At 41.4% G+C, this 16,470-nt stretch overlaps 1 long non-coding RNA gene across 14 annotated transcripts in view, besides 1 other annotated feature; it reads left to right on the top strand.

Moving 5' to 3' along the window:
• The window catches only part of LOC100130256 (uncharacterized), a 96,216-nt gene that overhangs the window by 31,003 nt on the left and 48,743 nt on the right, over positions 1-16,470 (top strand). For 8 of the 14 annotated variants that reach the window (NR_187622.1, NR_187619.1, NR_187627.1 and 5 more), the window contains exon 4: positions 12,517-12,680. The exons of the other annotated variants lie outside the window; for them this stretch is intronic. This is a non-coding gene — a long non-coding RNA (uncharacterized LOC100130256). The remainder of the gene's footprint in view (positions 1-12,516; positions 12,681-16,470) is intronic. 14 annotated transcript variants of the gene reach the window in all.
• Positions 151-700: an enhancer, noted in NCBI's record as "OCT4-NANOG-H3K27ac hESC enhancer chr2:171536815-171537364 (GRCh37/hg19 assembly coordinates)". NCBI's record gives its function as "activates a minimal SCP1, AML or CMV promoter by ChIP-STARR-seq in primed H9 embryonic stem cells {active_cell/tissue: H9 hESC(primed)}" and the evidence as "EXISTENCE:reporter gene assay evidence [ECO:0000049][PMID:30033119]".

Here is a 16,470-nt window from a genome sequence, read left to right as displayed (position 1 = left end):
AGACAATTTAGGACAGATTTCTTTATTTTCTCCTCTGGCCTAAAACGAAAAACCCCCACTTTCCAAACTGTTACCACCGAAGAGTTTATTAAATGGCTGAAAAAGACAGCTGGTCCCACCATCTGTTAAAATTTTTCAGGGGCCAAATAAAACAGGTTACACCTTTAGCCATGCCAAGTCTTGCAATACCCCCTTCCTCTCACAGCCTGGGGAGGGCTAATCTGAATTTCACGCTCTGATTTTGCTATTGCTAATGTCTGAGCTTCTTATGTGAGCTTCTCCACATTGCTGGTATTACTTCTGTTTTTCAGTTACAAAGCTATTCTCACATTTCAACCAAACTCATTTGCAACCTATTACCTTCCACCTCTATAGTCTCTATAGTTACACCCAGTAACTAGAAGGAAACCCACAGATACCTAGCTAATTTCTGACTTTTCAAGCAAAGGGGGAGAATCAAAAGTACATTTCTGTTGTTTTGCAACCATTTTTCTATAAATGCTAATGGAGGTAATTCAGATTTTGGAACAAAGGCTTAGCTCACCACACACTGCAGGTGTGAAAGGGTTAAAACAAAAGAGATGCTAACCCTAATGGTATTTCTTGTCATTAACAATTCTTTGATGTTCACACTGGAGCCTCCCTTTTATCTTTTAGTTTTTCAGCCATCTTTGTTAACATGCAGCTCAATTGAATCTTTTTTTTTTCACCTCCCTCTGGCCTTTAAAGACATCTGCAAAATGTTTATGCTAAGTTAGTTTCCACTGCATCTTTTAGTAGCAAGGCAAAGTAAAATGAGATAAAGCTTGTGAGGTTATTATTAAAACATCAGTAAGTTTCTATCATTAAGCTGAAGGGAAAGATCAATAAAAAAGGAGCACTTAATGTTACTTTAATAAGGATGCGTTTCCTGTTACAGGACTTGGGATTAACTTCAGTATCACTGAAGTGGGCTTTACAATAAGGAAGTTGCTGTGATCAGAAGAGTTTGACTTGCCCTTACCCAATTAAGCAGTTTGCAAATACTTTGAATGTACTTGATCTATTACTTCCTGTTTTATTGAAAGCTTTCATGATACATATATTTAAATAATATTTTACTATAGCTTTTTTCCCTCCTTGTATCAGTCCCTGGCAGGCTGCCAAAGACTTTCTAAGGCAGGTTTGCCTGTCCTGTCCGTTTGGGATTGGGGGAAGGGAGAGGTGAGATGACGGGGAGTGGAACTGCAGCTTCAGAAAAGTTTGTTTAACTCACTTTGATGACAGCAAAATGTCCGGAACAGTCAACACTGCATAATATACCGCCCTGAGCTACTCAGCAGCAGGATCTGCAACTGTACCGTGGGTGCAAAGTGGAATCACATGTTTCACACCAAAATGGTCTGGCTGAGCTCACTATTCATGAGTATATTTTGTGTTTTCTTGACGTAGAAATGTTTATTAATAGTCTCTGGATTAACAGAGCTTTCCCTTTAACTGTGGGTGGGGCGGGGCGGGGGGCAAATTGTTTGCTTAACTAGTTAACACTTTAACCAGTATAAGTGGCGATCTCTGGACAGTTGATTTGTTTCTGCTTGAAACTTGTTTTTTGGCAAGTATTAATTTGGAGCTAGTTGAAATCCTGAGCGCAGCTGTAATAGACATTGTAACTTCCTCAGCCTTTATATATAGTCCAGCCCTAAATGTCAAATGCTAGGGAGAAGATAATCAGATAAAATACAAATTAATGTTAACAATGTAGCTATTTTATGATTTCCCCCTCATGTTATTTAATAATTCTTAGTATTTATATGATGCTTTTCATCTTCAAAGCACTTTACAAATGTTAGCTAATTAACCAAGAGGTAATGAGGCCTGGGTGATAATGCTGTAGTAAATTTTCTGTAGCTCAGATTATAAAGTAAAAATGAAGATGTATGTATTCATACATTTTTAAAAATAACATTAGGCGGTCTTAGAGAGTTTGTGATTCAGAGGCTCAGGCAATTCATCTTCTATGTATAACTTATGTCTCTCTCTAAAAAATCTTGGGAAATTCAGATGCTCATGAACTGTAAGGATTTTCCCATCTGGCAGGTGGTTGGCAAACTTCTTTCATCTTAGCCTTGTCTGTTCTTACTCCTTGATATTTTTCACCTTGATCTCTCTGTCCAAGAACACAGAAAGGTCCAAAGGCAAGGACATTTACTGTTAGGAATTAGGGATAGACACCCATTTCATTTTTTTCTCAGGTTTTCCTGTAGACAAAAGCTGGGTGAAATACATCCTAACGCACTTGTGTTATTTTACATAGCTTTGCATAATGATAATAGTGCAGTTCAATTTCATTACTTGAGAATGAGTGTGTGTGCTGTGGATGGGTAGTCTGACTTTGTGGAAGGCCTAAATGATACAATTTTTGAAAAAGAAAAGGATATTTTATTCAATATAAAATATTATCATCTGATATAAAATGGACTATTGTAAGAAAAATTAATTCACTAATAAAAACGTTGTAGTTTAGGAGTGGTGGCTCACACCTGAAATGCCAGCACTTTGGGAGGCCTAGGCAAAGCAGATCACTTGAGCCCAGGAGTTTGAGACCAGCCTGGGCAACATGGCGAAACCCCATCTGTACTAAAAATAGAAAAATTAGCTGGGCGTGGTGGCATGTGCCCGTAATCCCAACTACTCGGGAGGCTGGGTAGGAGGATCACCTGAGCCCAGGAGGTCGAGGCTGCAGTGAGCTGTGATGGCACCACTACACTCCAACCTGGACAACAGAGTGAGACCCTATCTCAAAAACAAAAACAAAAAACGCTATAGTTTATAGACTTACATTACAAACTAATAAACACATCCGTTTATGAGACTGAGTTGCTAGACTCAGCCTCTGAGGGCAGGTCTTATTTTCCTGAACACATACTTTGGAAAAGCTACTAAAGCTAATCAGACTCTTATTCATGAATAAGATCCTCACAATTCAGAGGGAATTCAATTTAAACCACTGAAAGTCTTATATACGCTGTGTAATTAGCTCTAACTTAACAAGGATTTATCCTATTTGCTAAAGGCTTTCCCCTCTTCTTTCTGAGTTATGGTATTAAGCTATGTCTACATACCCTAAACTCAGGACTGACAAGTGATAGTTTCAGCCTGGGTGTTTCATCCTCCAGAGACTTGGGAACATGCTGATACTATTTAGAAAAGGCCAGATAATGCTTGGTGCACGGTAGGCCATAAGGTCCAGATTCTAGATTGAATCTTTTTACTTTTCATTCTGAACACCCAGTATCAGTCCATATGCCTTCACAGTAATAATAAATCACCAAAGGAAGAATCAATTACTAAGATGTACTGAATCTGGTTCTATAAATGTCTTGGTGATATGGTCTTTTTATTAACTCAGTGCCTGCTGACAGATTTTACATAAAGTGTACCGTTATTATAGGACTAGTTTCGCCCAAAGAAATAAATTACACACGTAACTTGCCACGACATTAACTTGATCAAGTGGAGCTTACAATATGCTGGTCATGGAGAAGTGTTTCTATTATAAATCATGACCTTGTACCCACCCAGCCTTTTATCCTTACGGATACCCTTAGCTTAATGTGACATCATGATGGCCCCACTCTTCAGATGGGGTGGGGGAGGGGTCAGGAAGGAGGAGAAACAAAATAAAAAGTCATACATAATGTCAATGACACCCACCGTCTCCCTGTTTGCAGGGGAAAGAAAGAAGGGAACCCCAGTGAAGAAAAGAAATGAATCCAATGCATTCATGGTGTTAGTGAAATCTCTCAAATATTTCTTTGCTGATTTCACTGCTAGTGAGATGATCAAATTCTTCAACTTCTGCATGGAGAGATACTGTTATTCTTAAAGCATTCTTTGTGGTCATCCTCAATGTCTCCGTATTTTTTTTTTGGAGACGGAATCTCGCTCTGTCGCCCAGGCTAGAGTGCAGTGGCACAATCCCCGCTCACTGCAAGCTCCGCTTCCCAGGTTCACGCCATTCTCCTGCCTCAGTCTCCCATGTAGCTGGGACTACAGGCACCCACCACCACGCCTGGCTACTTTTTTGTATTTTTAGTAGAGACGGGGTTTCACCATGTTAGCCAGGATGATCTCGATCTCCTGACCTGGTTATCCACCCACCTCAGCCCCCCAAAGTGCTGGGATTACAGGCATGAGCCCCTGCACCCGGCCTGTTTAGTTTTTTTTGTTTTTTGTTTTGAGATGGAGTCTTGCTCTGCTGCCCAGGCTGGAGTGCAGTGGTGCGATCTTGGCTCACTGCAACCTCCGCCTCCCGGGTTCAAGTGATTCTCCTGCCTCAGCCTCCTGAATAGCTGAGATTACAGTGTGTGCCACCACTACCGGCTAATTTTTTTTATTTTTAGTAGAGACGGGGTTTCACCATGTTGGTCAGGCTGTTCTTGAACTCCTGACCTCGTGATCTGCCCGCCTTGGCCTCCTAAAGTGTTGGGATTATAGGTGTGAGCCATCGTGCCTGGCCTATCTCTGCATGTTTTTTGTTTTTGTTTTTGTTTTTGTTTTTGAGATGGAGTCTCGCTCTGTCGCCCAGGCTGGAGTGCAGTGGCACAATTTTGGCTCCCTGCAACCTCCGTCTCCCAGGTTCAAGGGATTCTCCTGCCTCAGCCTCCCGAGTAGCTGGAACTACAGGTGCCCACCACCACACCCAGCTAATTTTTGTATTTTTAGTAGAGATGGGGTTTCACCATGTTGCCAGGCTGGTCTCAAACTCCTGACCTTGTGATCCACCCACCTCAGCCTCCCAAAGTGCTGGCATTACAGGCGTGAGCCACTGCGCCTGGCCTATCTCTGTATGTTTTACAGAAACTTGCTGTAGCCTGCAAGATGCATTGAGTCTTAGCATAAACTCCATTACCAAGAAAAGTTTAAGCCTTTTCTCCCTCCTCCCCATCCTTTCCCCCCGAATGCCCCACTCCCTTCTTTTACTAGAGCATATTTGATTTAGATAGAGAGGTAATAAATTTTTTTAAATCATTTTATTTTATTTTAAAATAAAATTGTATATATTTAAGATGTAGAATGTGATGTTTTCATAACAAGTTGTTGCTTTTAAAACTGCCATATGGTATGCAATATGATACAACTTATGTTCTAAAGTCTTGTATATGCCTGAAAAAGAAACTGTTTTTTTTTTTTCGAGATGGAGTCTCGCTGTTTTGCCCAGGCTGGAATGCAGTGGTGCAATCTTGGCTCAGTGCAACCTCCACCCCGCAGGTTCAAGCGATTCTCCTGTTTCAGCCCCCCAAGTAGCTGGGACTGCAGGTGCGTGCCACCACGCCCAGCTAATTTTTTTTGTATTTTTAGCAGAGACGGGGTTTCACCATTTTAGCCAGGATGGTCTCCATCTCCTGACCTTGTGATCCACCTGCCTCGGCCTCCCAAAGTGCAAAAGAAACTGTTTAATAGTAGAATTAAGTAGGGAAGAAAGAGAGGTAACTTTTTACACTTTGGTATTATTTCAATGTTTTATAATAAGGATGTAGACTTTTAAAGTCATATTCTTCTGGCTAATTCTCTCATCTCCTTCAAATCTTAGCTCAAATGTCTCTTGCTCTGATCAGACCCACCTGGACCACCCTGTTAAAATTGCAATCCACCCTCTGTTCTCCCTTCTTCCCATGATCCTTATTAACTTCAAACATACTTAGAGTGACTATACAATTTATTAATCAAATATGACCTTCTGAGAGTGAAAGGGGTCATCAACCTGGGATGAGAGGAGCCAGGGCAATGTCTACAGTCTGAGGCTATCTGAAGCAAACTGGCAACTTTAGACACACCATGTAGTTGATTTTTTCATTATGCTTACCGGTCATCCCCCCAACCTAAATTGAAGCTCCACAGGAGTGAGAAGGCAGAGCTTTTTATCTGTTTGTTTACTGATGTATTCCAAGGGCCAGAGCAGTGCTTGGAACATAATAGGTCAGAGATTCATTGAATGAATGAGTATATGAATGAATGAATGATAAAAAAAATTCATTTTGGAAAACATGTTATGTAAATGTGAAGGGATGTTCTAAACTATCCCATACCGTGCCAAGTCTTTGCCACACTCCAGACATTGTGTTGAGTGTTCTGCACATAAAAAGAGCACGCTAAATATTTTCTTGTTAATTGGTTTGAGATCTGATGAATTCTCAGAACAGAACCCCATCCCTGTTAAAACGAGTAACTCAAATATATTAAAAGTCTAATAGTAATGCTATTTTTGGTTGGCCACCCTGGACTGATGTGCTGCTATTTTCCTTCATTAGGATGGGTAAGTTAGGATTGATTTATTGTATAGTAACATAACATGTTTAAGTGTTCTCTATCCCCTTTCTGCCCACTTGGAGAGCTATTTTCACCTTTTTTTTTTTTTTTTTTTTTAAGAGACAGAGTCTTGCTCTGTTGCCCAGGCTAGAGTGCAGTGGTGCAATCATAACTTACTGCAGCCTTGAACTCCTGGGCTCAAAGGATCCTTCTGCCTCAGCCTCCTTTAGTAGCTGGAACTACAGGCATGTACCAACATGCCCAGCTTAGTTTTAAATTTTTTGTAGAGATGGGGGTCTCACTATGTTGCCCAGGCTGGTCTCCAACTCCTGGCCACAGGCAATCCCTCTACCTTGGTCTCCCAAAGTGTTGGGATTACAGGTGTGAGCCACCATACCTCACCCTATTTTCACTTTTAAGGAGAAATTCTCTGCATTTTAACATTTTCTCATATAGTTTTGTTTTTGGCATGAATTAAAATATTAATGTACAGACAGCCTTCCCACATGGTGTGATCTCATATTCTTCCTAGTGTTTTTTCCCCATTAGGTATTAACCAACAACTCTTGATGAATTAGTTCCTGCATAGTCTTCACTTAATTTTCTCACTTTGCCATCTATCTATCTATCTATCTATCTATCTATCTATCTATCTATCTATCTGTACGTATCTGTCTTGACACCAATATGTATTTTTCAGTATAATCAGGAGGGAAATAGGAAAGACTGTGCTTCAGCTGTTTTTTTTTTTTGTTTGTTTGTTTCTTTGTTTAGACAGGGTCTTGCTCTGTCACCCAGGCTAGAGTGCAGTGTTAGGATCATGGCTCACTGCAGTCTTGAGCTCCTGGAGCTCCTACCTCCACCTCGTGAGTAGCTAGGACTGTGGACATGCACAACCACACTCGGCTTAAACATGTATTTTTATACTGCTCTTTCATTCATCGCTCCCCATTATTTTGGTGCAATTTAAAAGCTGTTTTGGTTATCCCATAAAATAAAACAACTATTGAAGTCAACTATTTTCTTTCTTGAAAGCCCAGGTGGTACTTGTACTTACCTTAAAAAATGATTTAAGATTTTAAAATGACTTCATCATCAAATGCCTTTTGTTTAACATAGCAAAGGAAGTATTTCTCATTAGCAAAATGTTTTCAGTGATGTGTGGGAAAGATAGTGTTTAGAGAAAATCAAAGGGCATAGGAGAAAAGTTGCAAACTTAAAAGGGTGAGCAGAAAGAGGAGCAAGAGAAGAAGCTGAGGAGTGGCCAGGAAGAGCTGTGTTGAATTGACCATCTGATTTGGGTTTAGTTGATCACTGTCTCATGTAGATGGCATGAGACTGGAGGGCAAGGATATTTATTTCATCTTTCTGTCTAAAACATCACAGAATACGTAGGAGTGTGGGGACAAAGTTCAGTTAAGAAGATGGAGAGAGAACCTGCCCAAGGTTAGAAGAGTGGTCAGTGGAGCAAAAGGCTTCTGAGAGCAGCAGGATGAGGAAGAAAGGGACCCCTGGGTGTCAGTCTGTTTAGGCAACACAAGAACAGGATAGAGAGATTGAGGAAAACTACTTCTTGCAATAGGGATAATCGCATATATCATCTGTAATCATTATTAAGAAGTTTAGCTTCAGGGATAATTTGGAAGGAGATTCCTATTTCAGGGATAAATTCGCCAGTCTTGTTAATCTTTACAGATAGAATGTGATATATACATATATCACATGTGAGATATATATATATATATATATATATGGAAATGTCTACAACAGAAATGTAAACGTTTTGCCTTCTCTGCTTTTTTCAGCGACCTTTCTTAGCCATGAGCTAATGCCTAGTCCTGCCCTGCATCTGGCCTTTAGTCTTTGTTGTTGCTGCTGCTGCTGCTGCTTTTATTGCTTGGTTTTTAGTCCTACAGCCCTTCCCATATGATGAAAGGGAGAGGGGTGGGAAAAGACAGGGAAGCTAGAGAGAAGAGGGTGGGAAGAAAGACCCACTCCAAGGTAATTTTCTGTCACTCATCATGGTGCTTTAAGGGCTTGAGTTTTAATAAACTCCATTATAATATTAGCCACACTTGTTTAAATCAATGTTTTAGTTAATTTAAAGTTAAAGGCCTGTACATTAATTCATAAATATTTCAACAGGGGTTCTCATACTTTTTTGTGCATGGAAATCACTTTGGCGTATAGACTTTCCCTCACCCCACTCCAGAGGCCCTGATTCTCCAGGTCTGGGTGGGCCCAGGGAAAGGTCTACTGTACCGAGCACTGCAGGCAGCTCTGATATACTGAGCTGGGAGGCTCTTGGAAAATCATCGGCTTAGCAGTCACTATTTTTACCCCTTCTGCCCTGGATCAGGTCCCAAGAACCTCCTCTCATCTCTCCTGTTTCTGAAGAAGAAAAGGTGGCTTCTGCCCCCAATACTTCTCTCTGCCCTCCAAAGCTGAGAGGGACGATCAGGTTTCTGTGACCAGCCCCCCGCCCCATCTCCCCCATCCCTTTCTTGAATTCTTATGGCTTTCTCATACATATCCTGGAGCTAAAAGTGGCAGGCTCCTTTTTAGCTATAAATGGGATGGAAAAAGTGGACACTATCAGTGAGGGAACCGTATTGGTTAAATATGATGGGATATTTTGACCCCCTGGAGCCAAAGCCATCAAGAAAAAGTGGGTATTGCCTCTGATGTCCTTGCAGGAAGTGCTTCTTCCCTGTGATTTTTGTGTGAAAATATCATCAAGTGGACAGCTCAATATTTATCAGAAAAATCAGGGAAAACTTGTGTAGTGTGGCTTATTTTAGCAAGAATGTGGGATAAAATGAAACACAAAATCATGTAAGGATTACAGTTGCAGACATAATAAGTTTAACCCAATTCCTGGCATAAAGTAGGTATTCAGCATATATTCGTGGAATAAATGAATATATATATATATATTTATTTATTTATTGAGACGGAGTCTTGGTCTGTTGCCCAGGCTGGAGTACAGTGGTGCGATCTCGGCTCGCTGCAAGCTCTGCCTCCCGGGTTCATACCATTCTCCTGCCTCAGCCTCCTGAGTAGCTGGGACTACAGGCGCCCGCCACCATGCCTGGCTAATTTTTTTTTTTTGGTATTTTTGGTAGAGACAGGGTTTCACCGTGTTAGCCAGGATGGTCTCGATCTCCTGACCTCGTGATCCGCCCGCCTTGGCTTCCCAAAGTGCTGGGATTACAGGCGTGAGCCGCCGCGCCCGGCCTGAATATATTTTTAATAGGCGCGAGCCTTATTCCTAGCTGTATAATATAGACATATGAGACGCACAGATAATTTCTATCTACACCTCTTCCGAGAGCTGTGACAGTTTTTAAAATCTCAATTAAGCTGCTCTTTGGTCACAAGATTACCTACCATGATTGTCAGGAACCTACAGCTACCCAGTCACACGGACAGTTATCAGTCACTCCTAGCCTGACTCAAAATGTGTAGGTTAGTCGGCGGTTAGTCGCTAATAAGATAATGCTGAGGCCTCAGAGAAGTTTTGAATCCTGTAGTGTTCGGCTGAGAATGGTGTCTTGTGATAGCTGGCTTGCATGTATTAATATTGGGGAAAAGATGTGAATTTGCTAATAATTAGAAGTTGTTAAGTCATTCAGACATATTATACATATGGAAACTAAAGATGTTGGAATAGTAATAGGTAACCAGAGAATCCCAGTGTACTGAATAGATGCTTCAGTGGTTTGATGATTCCTGATGGTATAGTTCAAGAAGACATCCACATCCAGGAGTGAATGTAGGATGCTGGATTTCAGGACATAAAATCTTGGGATTTTTGTGGTGATTCACAAAAAGCCAGTGAAGTTAATCCTAGGCCGCAGGGAGAAGCCCAGTGCCCTTATTCAATAGATGAGGAAACCATAGCTTTGAAAACATTCTTTCCCTCTGGGCTCCTTCACTCATTTTTTCTCCTCTTGCATGGTGAGCTGTGAAGCGTTCCACACTGTCTTCCCTCTTCCCACAGTTATTGCTTGATACAGGAGTCAGTAGTTAGGATAACCTCACTGGCTCATATTCTATAGTCCCATTTATATAATATTAATCCTGTAACTTAAAAAAAGGCAACAAAATCATATTATCAGGCTTCTAGTCTAAGAGTCTTTTTTTTTTTTTCGGTTTCCAAGTGGTTATTTTATCAGATTGTTTGAACATTTAATTTATCCTGTTTGCAATCCAAAATAGTTACCTCAAGTTTGCTGTTTTGTGTGTGTGTGTTTACTTTTATTGTATATTTATTTTTCTAAACTCTTTGGCACAATTTTCTGGGGGGCGGTCCAATAGTCTTTTTTTACTAAGCCAAATTTATATGGCGTTCCCCCCAAAATTGTTAGAAAGTTGTTAGAAAAAAGTTTTTCCTCCATTTCTCTCATTAGTAGTCTAGACTAGGGGTTGGCAAACTTTTTCTGTAAAGGGCCAAGAGTAAATATTTTAGGCTTTGTAGGCCATAAGGTTTTTGTCATAACTACTCAACGCTACTGTTGTAGTGTGAAAGCAGCTGTGGACAATATGTAAATGAATGGGTGTGACTGTGTGCCAATAAAACTTTATCTATAAAAAGACACTTTGGAGTTGGGGTACAGAGGCAATCAATATGGTCCCAGCTACCTGGGGGGGCAGAGGCAGGAGGATAGCTTGAACCTAGGAGTTTGAGGCCAGCCTGGGCAACATAGTGAGACCCTCATCTCTAGTTTAAAAAAAACAAAAAAAAAAACAACAAAAAAACCATGCCGGGAGTGATGGCTCACGCCTGTAATCTCAGTACTTTGGGAGGCTGAGGTGGGCGGATCACCTGAGGTCAGGAGTTCGAGACCAGCCTGACCAACGTGGAGAAACCCCGTCTCTACTAAAAATACAAAATTAGCCGGGCATGGTGGTGCATGCTTGTAATCCAAGCTACTTGGGAGGCTGAGGCAGGAGAATGGCTTGAACCCAGGAGGTGGAGGTTGCCGTAAGCCCGGATCACGCCATTGCACTCCTGCCTGGGCAACAAGAGTGAAACTCCATCACCAAAAACAAAACAAAACAAAACAATACAAAACCAAAAACACTGTGGGTCTGGAGCTTTGGCCCACACAGGTGGTAGTTTGTCAACACATAACATTGAGAGATGCCACTTCCCTGCATGGCCAAGTTGAAGAACAAATTTTGCATGTAAGTAATTAAGAAAGTTGAGGGGCCGGGCGTGGTGGCTCATGCCTATAATCCCAGCACTTTGGGAGGCTGAGGCAGGCGTATCACCTGAGGTCAGGAGTTCAACACCAGCCTGACCAACATAGAGAAACCCTGTCTCTACTAAAAATACAAAATTAGCCAGGTGTGGTGGCACAAGCCTGTAATCCCAGCTATTCGGGAGGCTGAGGCAGGAGAATTGCTTGAACCTGGGAGGCAGAGGTTGCGGTGAGCCGAGATCGCACCATTGCGCTCCAGCCTGGGCAACAAGAGCGAAACTCTGTTTCAAAATAAAAAAAGGAAGAAAGTTGATAATATTTATTTTATTCCCTGGATAGATTTACTATTGGGTTGCTGGGGAGAAGCCCAATGAGTTATATGCTTGAATTTTTGGTCTGAATGTTCTTTGAATGAAAGCAGAAATGATCGCTAACCAAAAATAAAGACACTGTTAATTTAGTTATACTGCACAATAGTTGGGTAACTGGCTGAGTTTTTCAGTTTAGTTTCTGAATGTCAGAACTACAGCCAGAACTAACAGAGAAATTGTCTTCCGTTTTTCCTGCTTTCCTTTATCCCTGCAGGTTTTCTTTGCTTCTTAGCGTTCTTCCTGCTTTGTGTCTCCATCTGCCTTTGCAGTACATGCCCCAGACTTCTTATTGCCCACAGATCCCCAACAAACTTGCTTATCCCAGTTCATTGGTTCATTGTCTCAGGACCAGCTCTCAAAAGATAACTCATCCGAGGAACTAAGTACAACTGAAGCATAGATTGTAAGAATAATTTTAGGCATTCTTCTTTGGGAAAAAAGATGGCTGTGAGTGGTCTCCAAAGAGAAGACTCACATCATTTCCCCCATTGCCTTGTTAATTGTCACCAAGAGATCAGGAATTTCTCCGCAAGGCTCTGTAAAGGCTAGTCCATGCTGCCTCAAGACCTTTGATAATTGTGTGAACTATTAATAATAGTTGTCTAAAAGATTCAGACTTCTTTCTACCTCTGCCTCTATTGCACCTTTAGCAATCTGGAGTCTCCACAACTTTCTTCATGGAACCACCACCAGGCCCCTTCTGTAGGCTTCTTATGGAGGCTGAAGGTGTCTACATGGCAGCATAAAATAGTAATTAAGGACTCTGGAGTCACTGCCCAGGCTCAAATCCCTGCTGCAAATTGCGAGGTCTTTGGTGAGTCACTAAATTGCTCTACACCTCAGTTTCTTGTAAAAATGTTACTAACAATGATGAAAACATTTGTCTAATAGGTTACTTGTGAAGATTAAATGAAGCAATAGGGTAAAGCCGGGGCTTGGTACACAAGTACTCAATACATATCAGTTATTGTTATTCTCAGATAGAAATGAGATAAAAGCATCAGCTTTTTTTTTTTTTTTTTTTTTTTTTTTTTTTTTGAGATGGAGTCTCACTTTGTCACCTAGAGTGGAATGCAATGGCGCGATCTTGGCTCACTGTAACTTCTGCCTCCTGGGTTCAAGCGATTCTCCTGCCTCAGCCTCCCAAGTAGCTGGGATTACAGGCACGCACCAGCATGCCTGGCTAATTTTGTATTTTTAGTAGAGACAGGGTTTCACCATGTTGGTCAGGCTGGTCTTGAACTCCTGACCTTAGGTGATCCACCCGCCTCGGCCTCCCAAAGTGCTGGGATTACAGGCGTGAGCCACCATGCCTGGCTCGGTATCAGCATAATTTATATTGAGCTATATTTCGGTTGCTCTGGCTATGGGCAGATTGCCATTTAACCATTAGCGTTCCTTAAAGACACTGAAATACAGGCTCCCTGGCTCCTGAAAGGAGCATGGTTTAGGAATCTGACCCACTTGGATTTGCACATTGCTCCTCCCTACTAGCTCTCTGACCATGGTCAGGTAACATTGCTTTACTGAGTTTACCATTTATAATTTTTACCTATGTACAGCTGTATGGACAGTACATCATGGGAGAATGCCAGTGAAATGGCCAGTTCTTGTTAAATATTTTTATTTTAATAATGGTCTTAGATGTCCTCAGTTTACATCTAAATATCTGTGGAGTTCTTGCAAGGCATTAGGCCAGGTATCAATATCTTACAAATTGGGAGAATTAGTTAAGGAAATATTTTTGGAGAGAAGAACATCTTCTTTCTTTCTTTCTTTCTTTTTTGAGATGAAGTCTCTTGTTCCCCAGGCTGGAGTACAATGGCATGATCTCAGCTCACTGCAACCTCCGCCGCCCAGGTTCAAGAGATTCTTCTGCCTCAGCCTCCCGAGTAGCTGGGATTACAGGCGCCTGCCACCACGCCCAGCTAATTTTTGTATATTTAGTAGAGATGGGGTTTCACCATGTTGGCCAGGCTGGTCTTGAACTCCTGACCTCAGGGGATCTGCCCACCTCGGCCTCCCAAAGTGCTGGGATTACAGGCGTGAGCCACCGTGCCCAACAGAACATCTTCTTTCTAAGCAAGCTGTCTGTTCTGTGTGCAGACAAGGCTGGTCTTGGATAGTATATCATTGGCAGTTTGGTCCAACGAGCTCAGAATGCAGAAAAAATCAACCTAGATTCTTGACTCTGTTAGTGACTCACTGGATCTCTGTCTTGTCCTGTAAGGAGTGGATTGGCCTATGTATTTTCTAAGGATTCTTACTGTTCTAAAACATAGCCTTTGTGTGTATAGGGCAGTGATATGGCATTACTTATGTCTCTACACTGATCTGGCAAGAGGCATCCAACCGTCTAGTGTTGTCACGGAAATGTTAGTTGGTCGGAATAGTTTCTTTGCTTTTAACATTGCAGGGTGAGTAGCAATAAGGGTTTTGTCTTTGTGGTTTTATTTTTGTTCCCCTCCTTTTGTTTTGAATGATATGTGGCCCAGTAATATATTAACAGTATAGAAATGAAGAAAACATTCTGCGTGACTCAAAAACTAGCATTTTTTGCTGTCATCAACCAAGGAGCTGGTTTGGAGAACAGTAAATACCAGAGGTTCACGGAAGTGGGAAGCACTACCCAATTAAATAAGTATAGTGTCCGCCCCAACCACCCGCTATATTCACAGGTTGTCGATGGTTCATGTGCATCATGTGTAAATGCACAAAATCCTTTTCTACTTTTAACAGGAATATAATGAAAACCTGATTTGGCTGGACACTTCAGTAAAAGCAGTCAGACTGGTTTTTACACATAGACACAATCTGAATTGATGACCCGTTCAGTCATTTAACCAATTAACTTGATCAATAACCAGTTAGTGACTTTATTAGAGGTCCTCCATGGATCAAATAATTCAAAGAACCACATATAATTAAATACGAGATTATGAATTAGTTATGGATACAAACAAAGAAACATTTAAGTGAAAATATCTCAGTATCTCTTTAAAATGTCCATTTCACACAAATTTGATTTAGGATGAAAATTAATGTAATTCTGTCAAAGCTACATAGAAAAGCGGCACCATATGCAATTAAAAAAAAGCAATACCCAAACATTTACTTTAGGGATAGTCTCTGAACTTTGAAATATCTATAAAACGGTGTATGTGATATAACTGGCTTTTCTGTTGGAGGTGACGTTAACTGTCACCAAGGAACTGGTAATAAATACATTATGAAATCCCATAAATCAACATTAGCAAACACAGCCCTCAGCAAACTATCTTTCGATGACTACTATAATGATTAATAAGAATGTGAAGTCCAATTAATATACTGATTTTTCACTCTTGAACTTCATCTAGTTCATTAACATAGAAAATATTTAATCCCTCCCATCGTCAATCTAAATCTTAATCCTAATCCTTCTCTTCAGTCTCTGATCATTTCCACCCTGAAAATCTGGCCAATCCCACAACCCCCTTTAATTACCTTTCCATTTCTTTCCTTCCTTCTGCCACCAAGTTTCTGGAGTTGTCTGAGGCCACAGGAAACTAAAGTGACTGTCCTAGTCACGCAGTTAAAAAACTGTGGCGCCACATCTCAACCCATTTCTTCTGCATGGCATCATCTTTAATGTGTCCTTCCTCCACCCCTTCCTTCTGTAGCCCACGCCCTCCGGTATGTAAAGTGATGTCTTTGCACCATGTGTTGGTCTCAAGTCCCTCTCTATTCCCCTATCATTACTCTAGCTTACTAATTGATCTGTAATTGATCTTCTAATTGATCTCCTTGTCTCTTGCTTCTCCCCTTTACACAACAGCCAACAAGCCCTCTTCAAATTTCAGCTCTGTTTATGGCATTCCTCTGAACAAAATCCCCCCCTGGCTTCTTATTGTTTACTAAATAGAGTCCAAACTACTTACTGTAGCATTCAAAGTTCCCCACAGTCTACTTCTTCTGTTTTACCTTTTATTTTTAGTTTGACTATGCTCTATTCAAAACAACAACAGGGAGTGGGCGTGGTGGCTCACGCCTGTAATCCTACCACTTTGGGAGGCCAAGGCAGGTGGATCACCTGAGGTCAAGAGTTCGAGACCAGCCTGGCCAACATGGTGAAACCCCGTCTCTAATAAAAATAAAAAATTAGCTGGGCGTGGTGGCGGACGCCTGTAATCCCAGCTACTCAGGAGGCTGAGGCAGGAGAATCTCTTGAACCCGGGAGGAGGAGTTTGCAGTGAGCTGATATTGTGCCACTACACTCCAGCCTGGTTGACAGAGTGAGACTCCGTCTCAAAAACAAACAAAAAACAACAACAACAAAAAACACCAAACGACAATAGGGCCTAAAGTTTCCTATTTCCTCAGTCTAATTGGGCTTTTCCAGGGCACTTAGTTGTTCCGGTTACACAAGGCTGCTTAGAATGTGGGAGCAGGAAGGCTTTCTCTAAACCTCACCAAGGGCTAGCCCAGCAGTCTTGGTGACCTACTTGATGGAGTGCCAGTTTGTCCTACTTCTGGCCATTTCTGCTGTACTGACCATTCAAGATTCAACTTAAATACTAATTCCTTCATGAAACATTCCTTTATGCAGCCTCCTCTCATCTTAC

This window comes from Homo sapiens, chromosome 2 (assembly GCF_000001405.40).
Source record: "Homo sapiens chromosome 2, GRCh38.p14 Primary Assembly".
NCBI lineage: Eukaryota > Metazoa > Chordata > Mammalia > Primates > Hominidae > Homo > Homo sapiens.
Note: the sequence above shows the minus strand (reverse complement) of the source record. Positions and strands in the feature narration are given on the sequence as shown.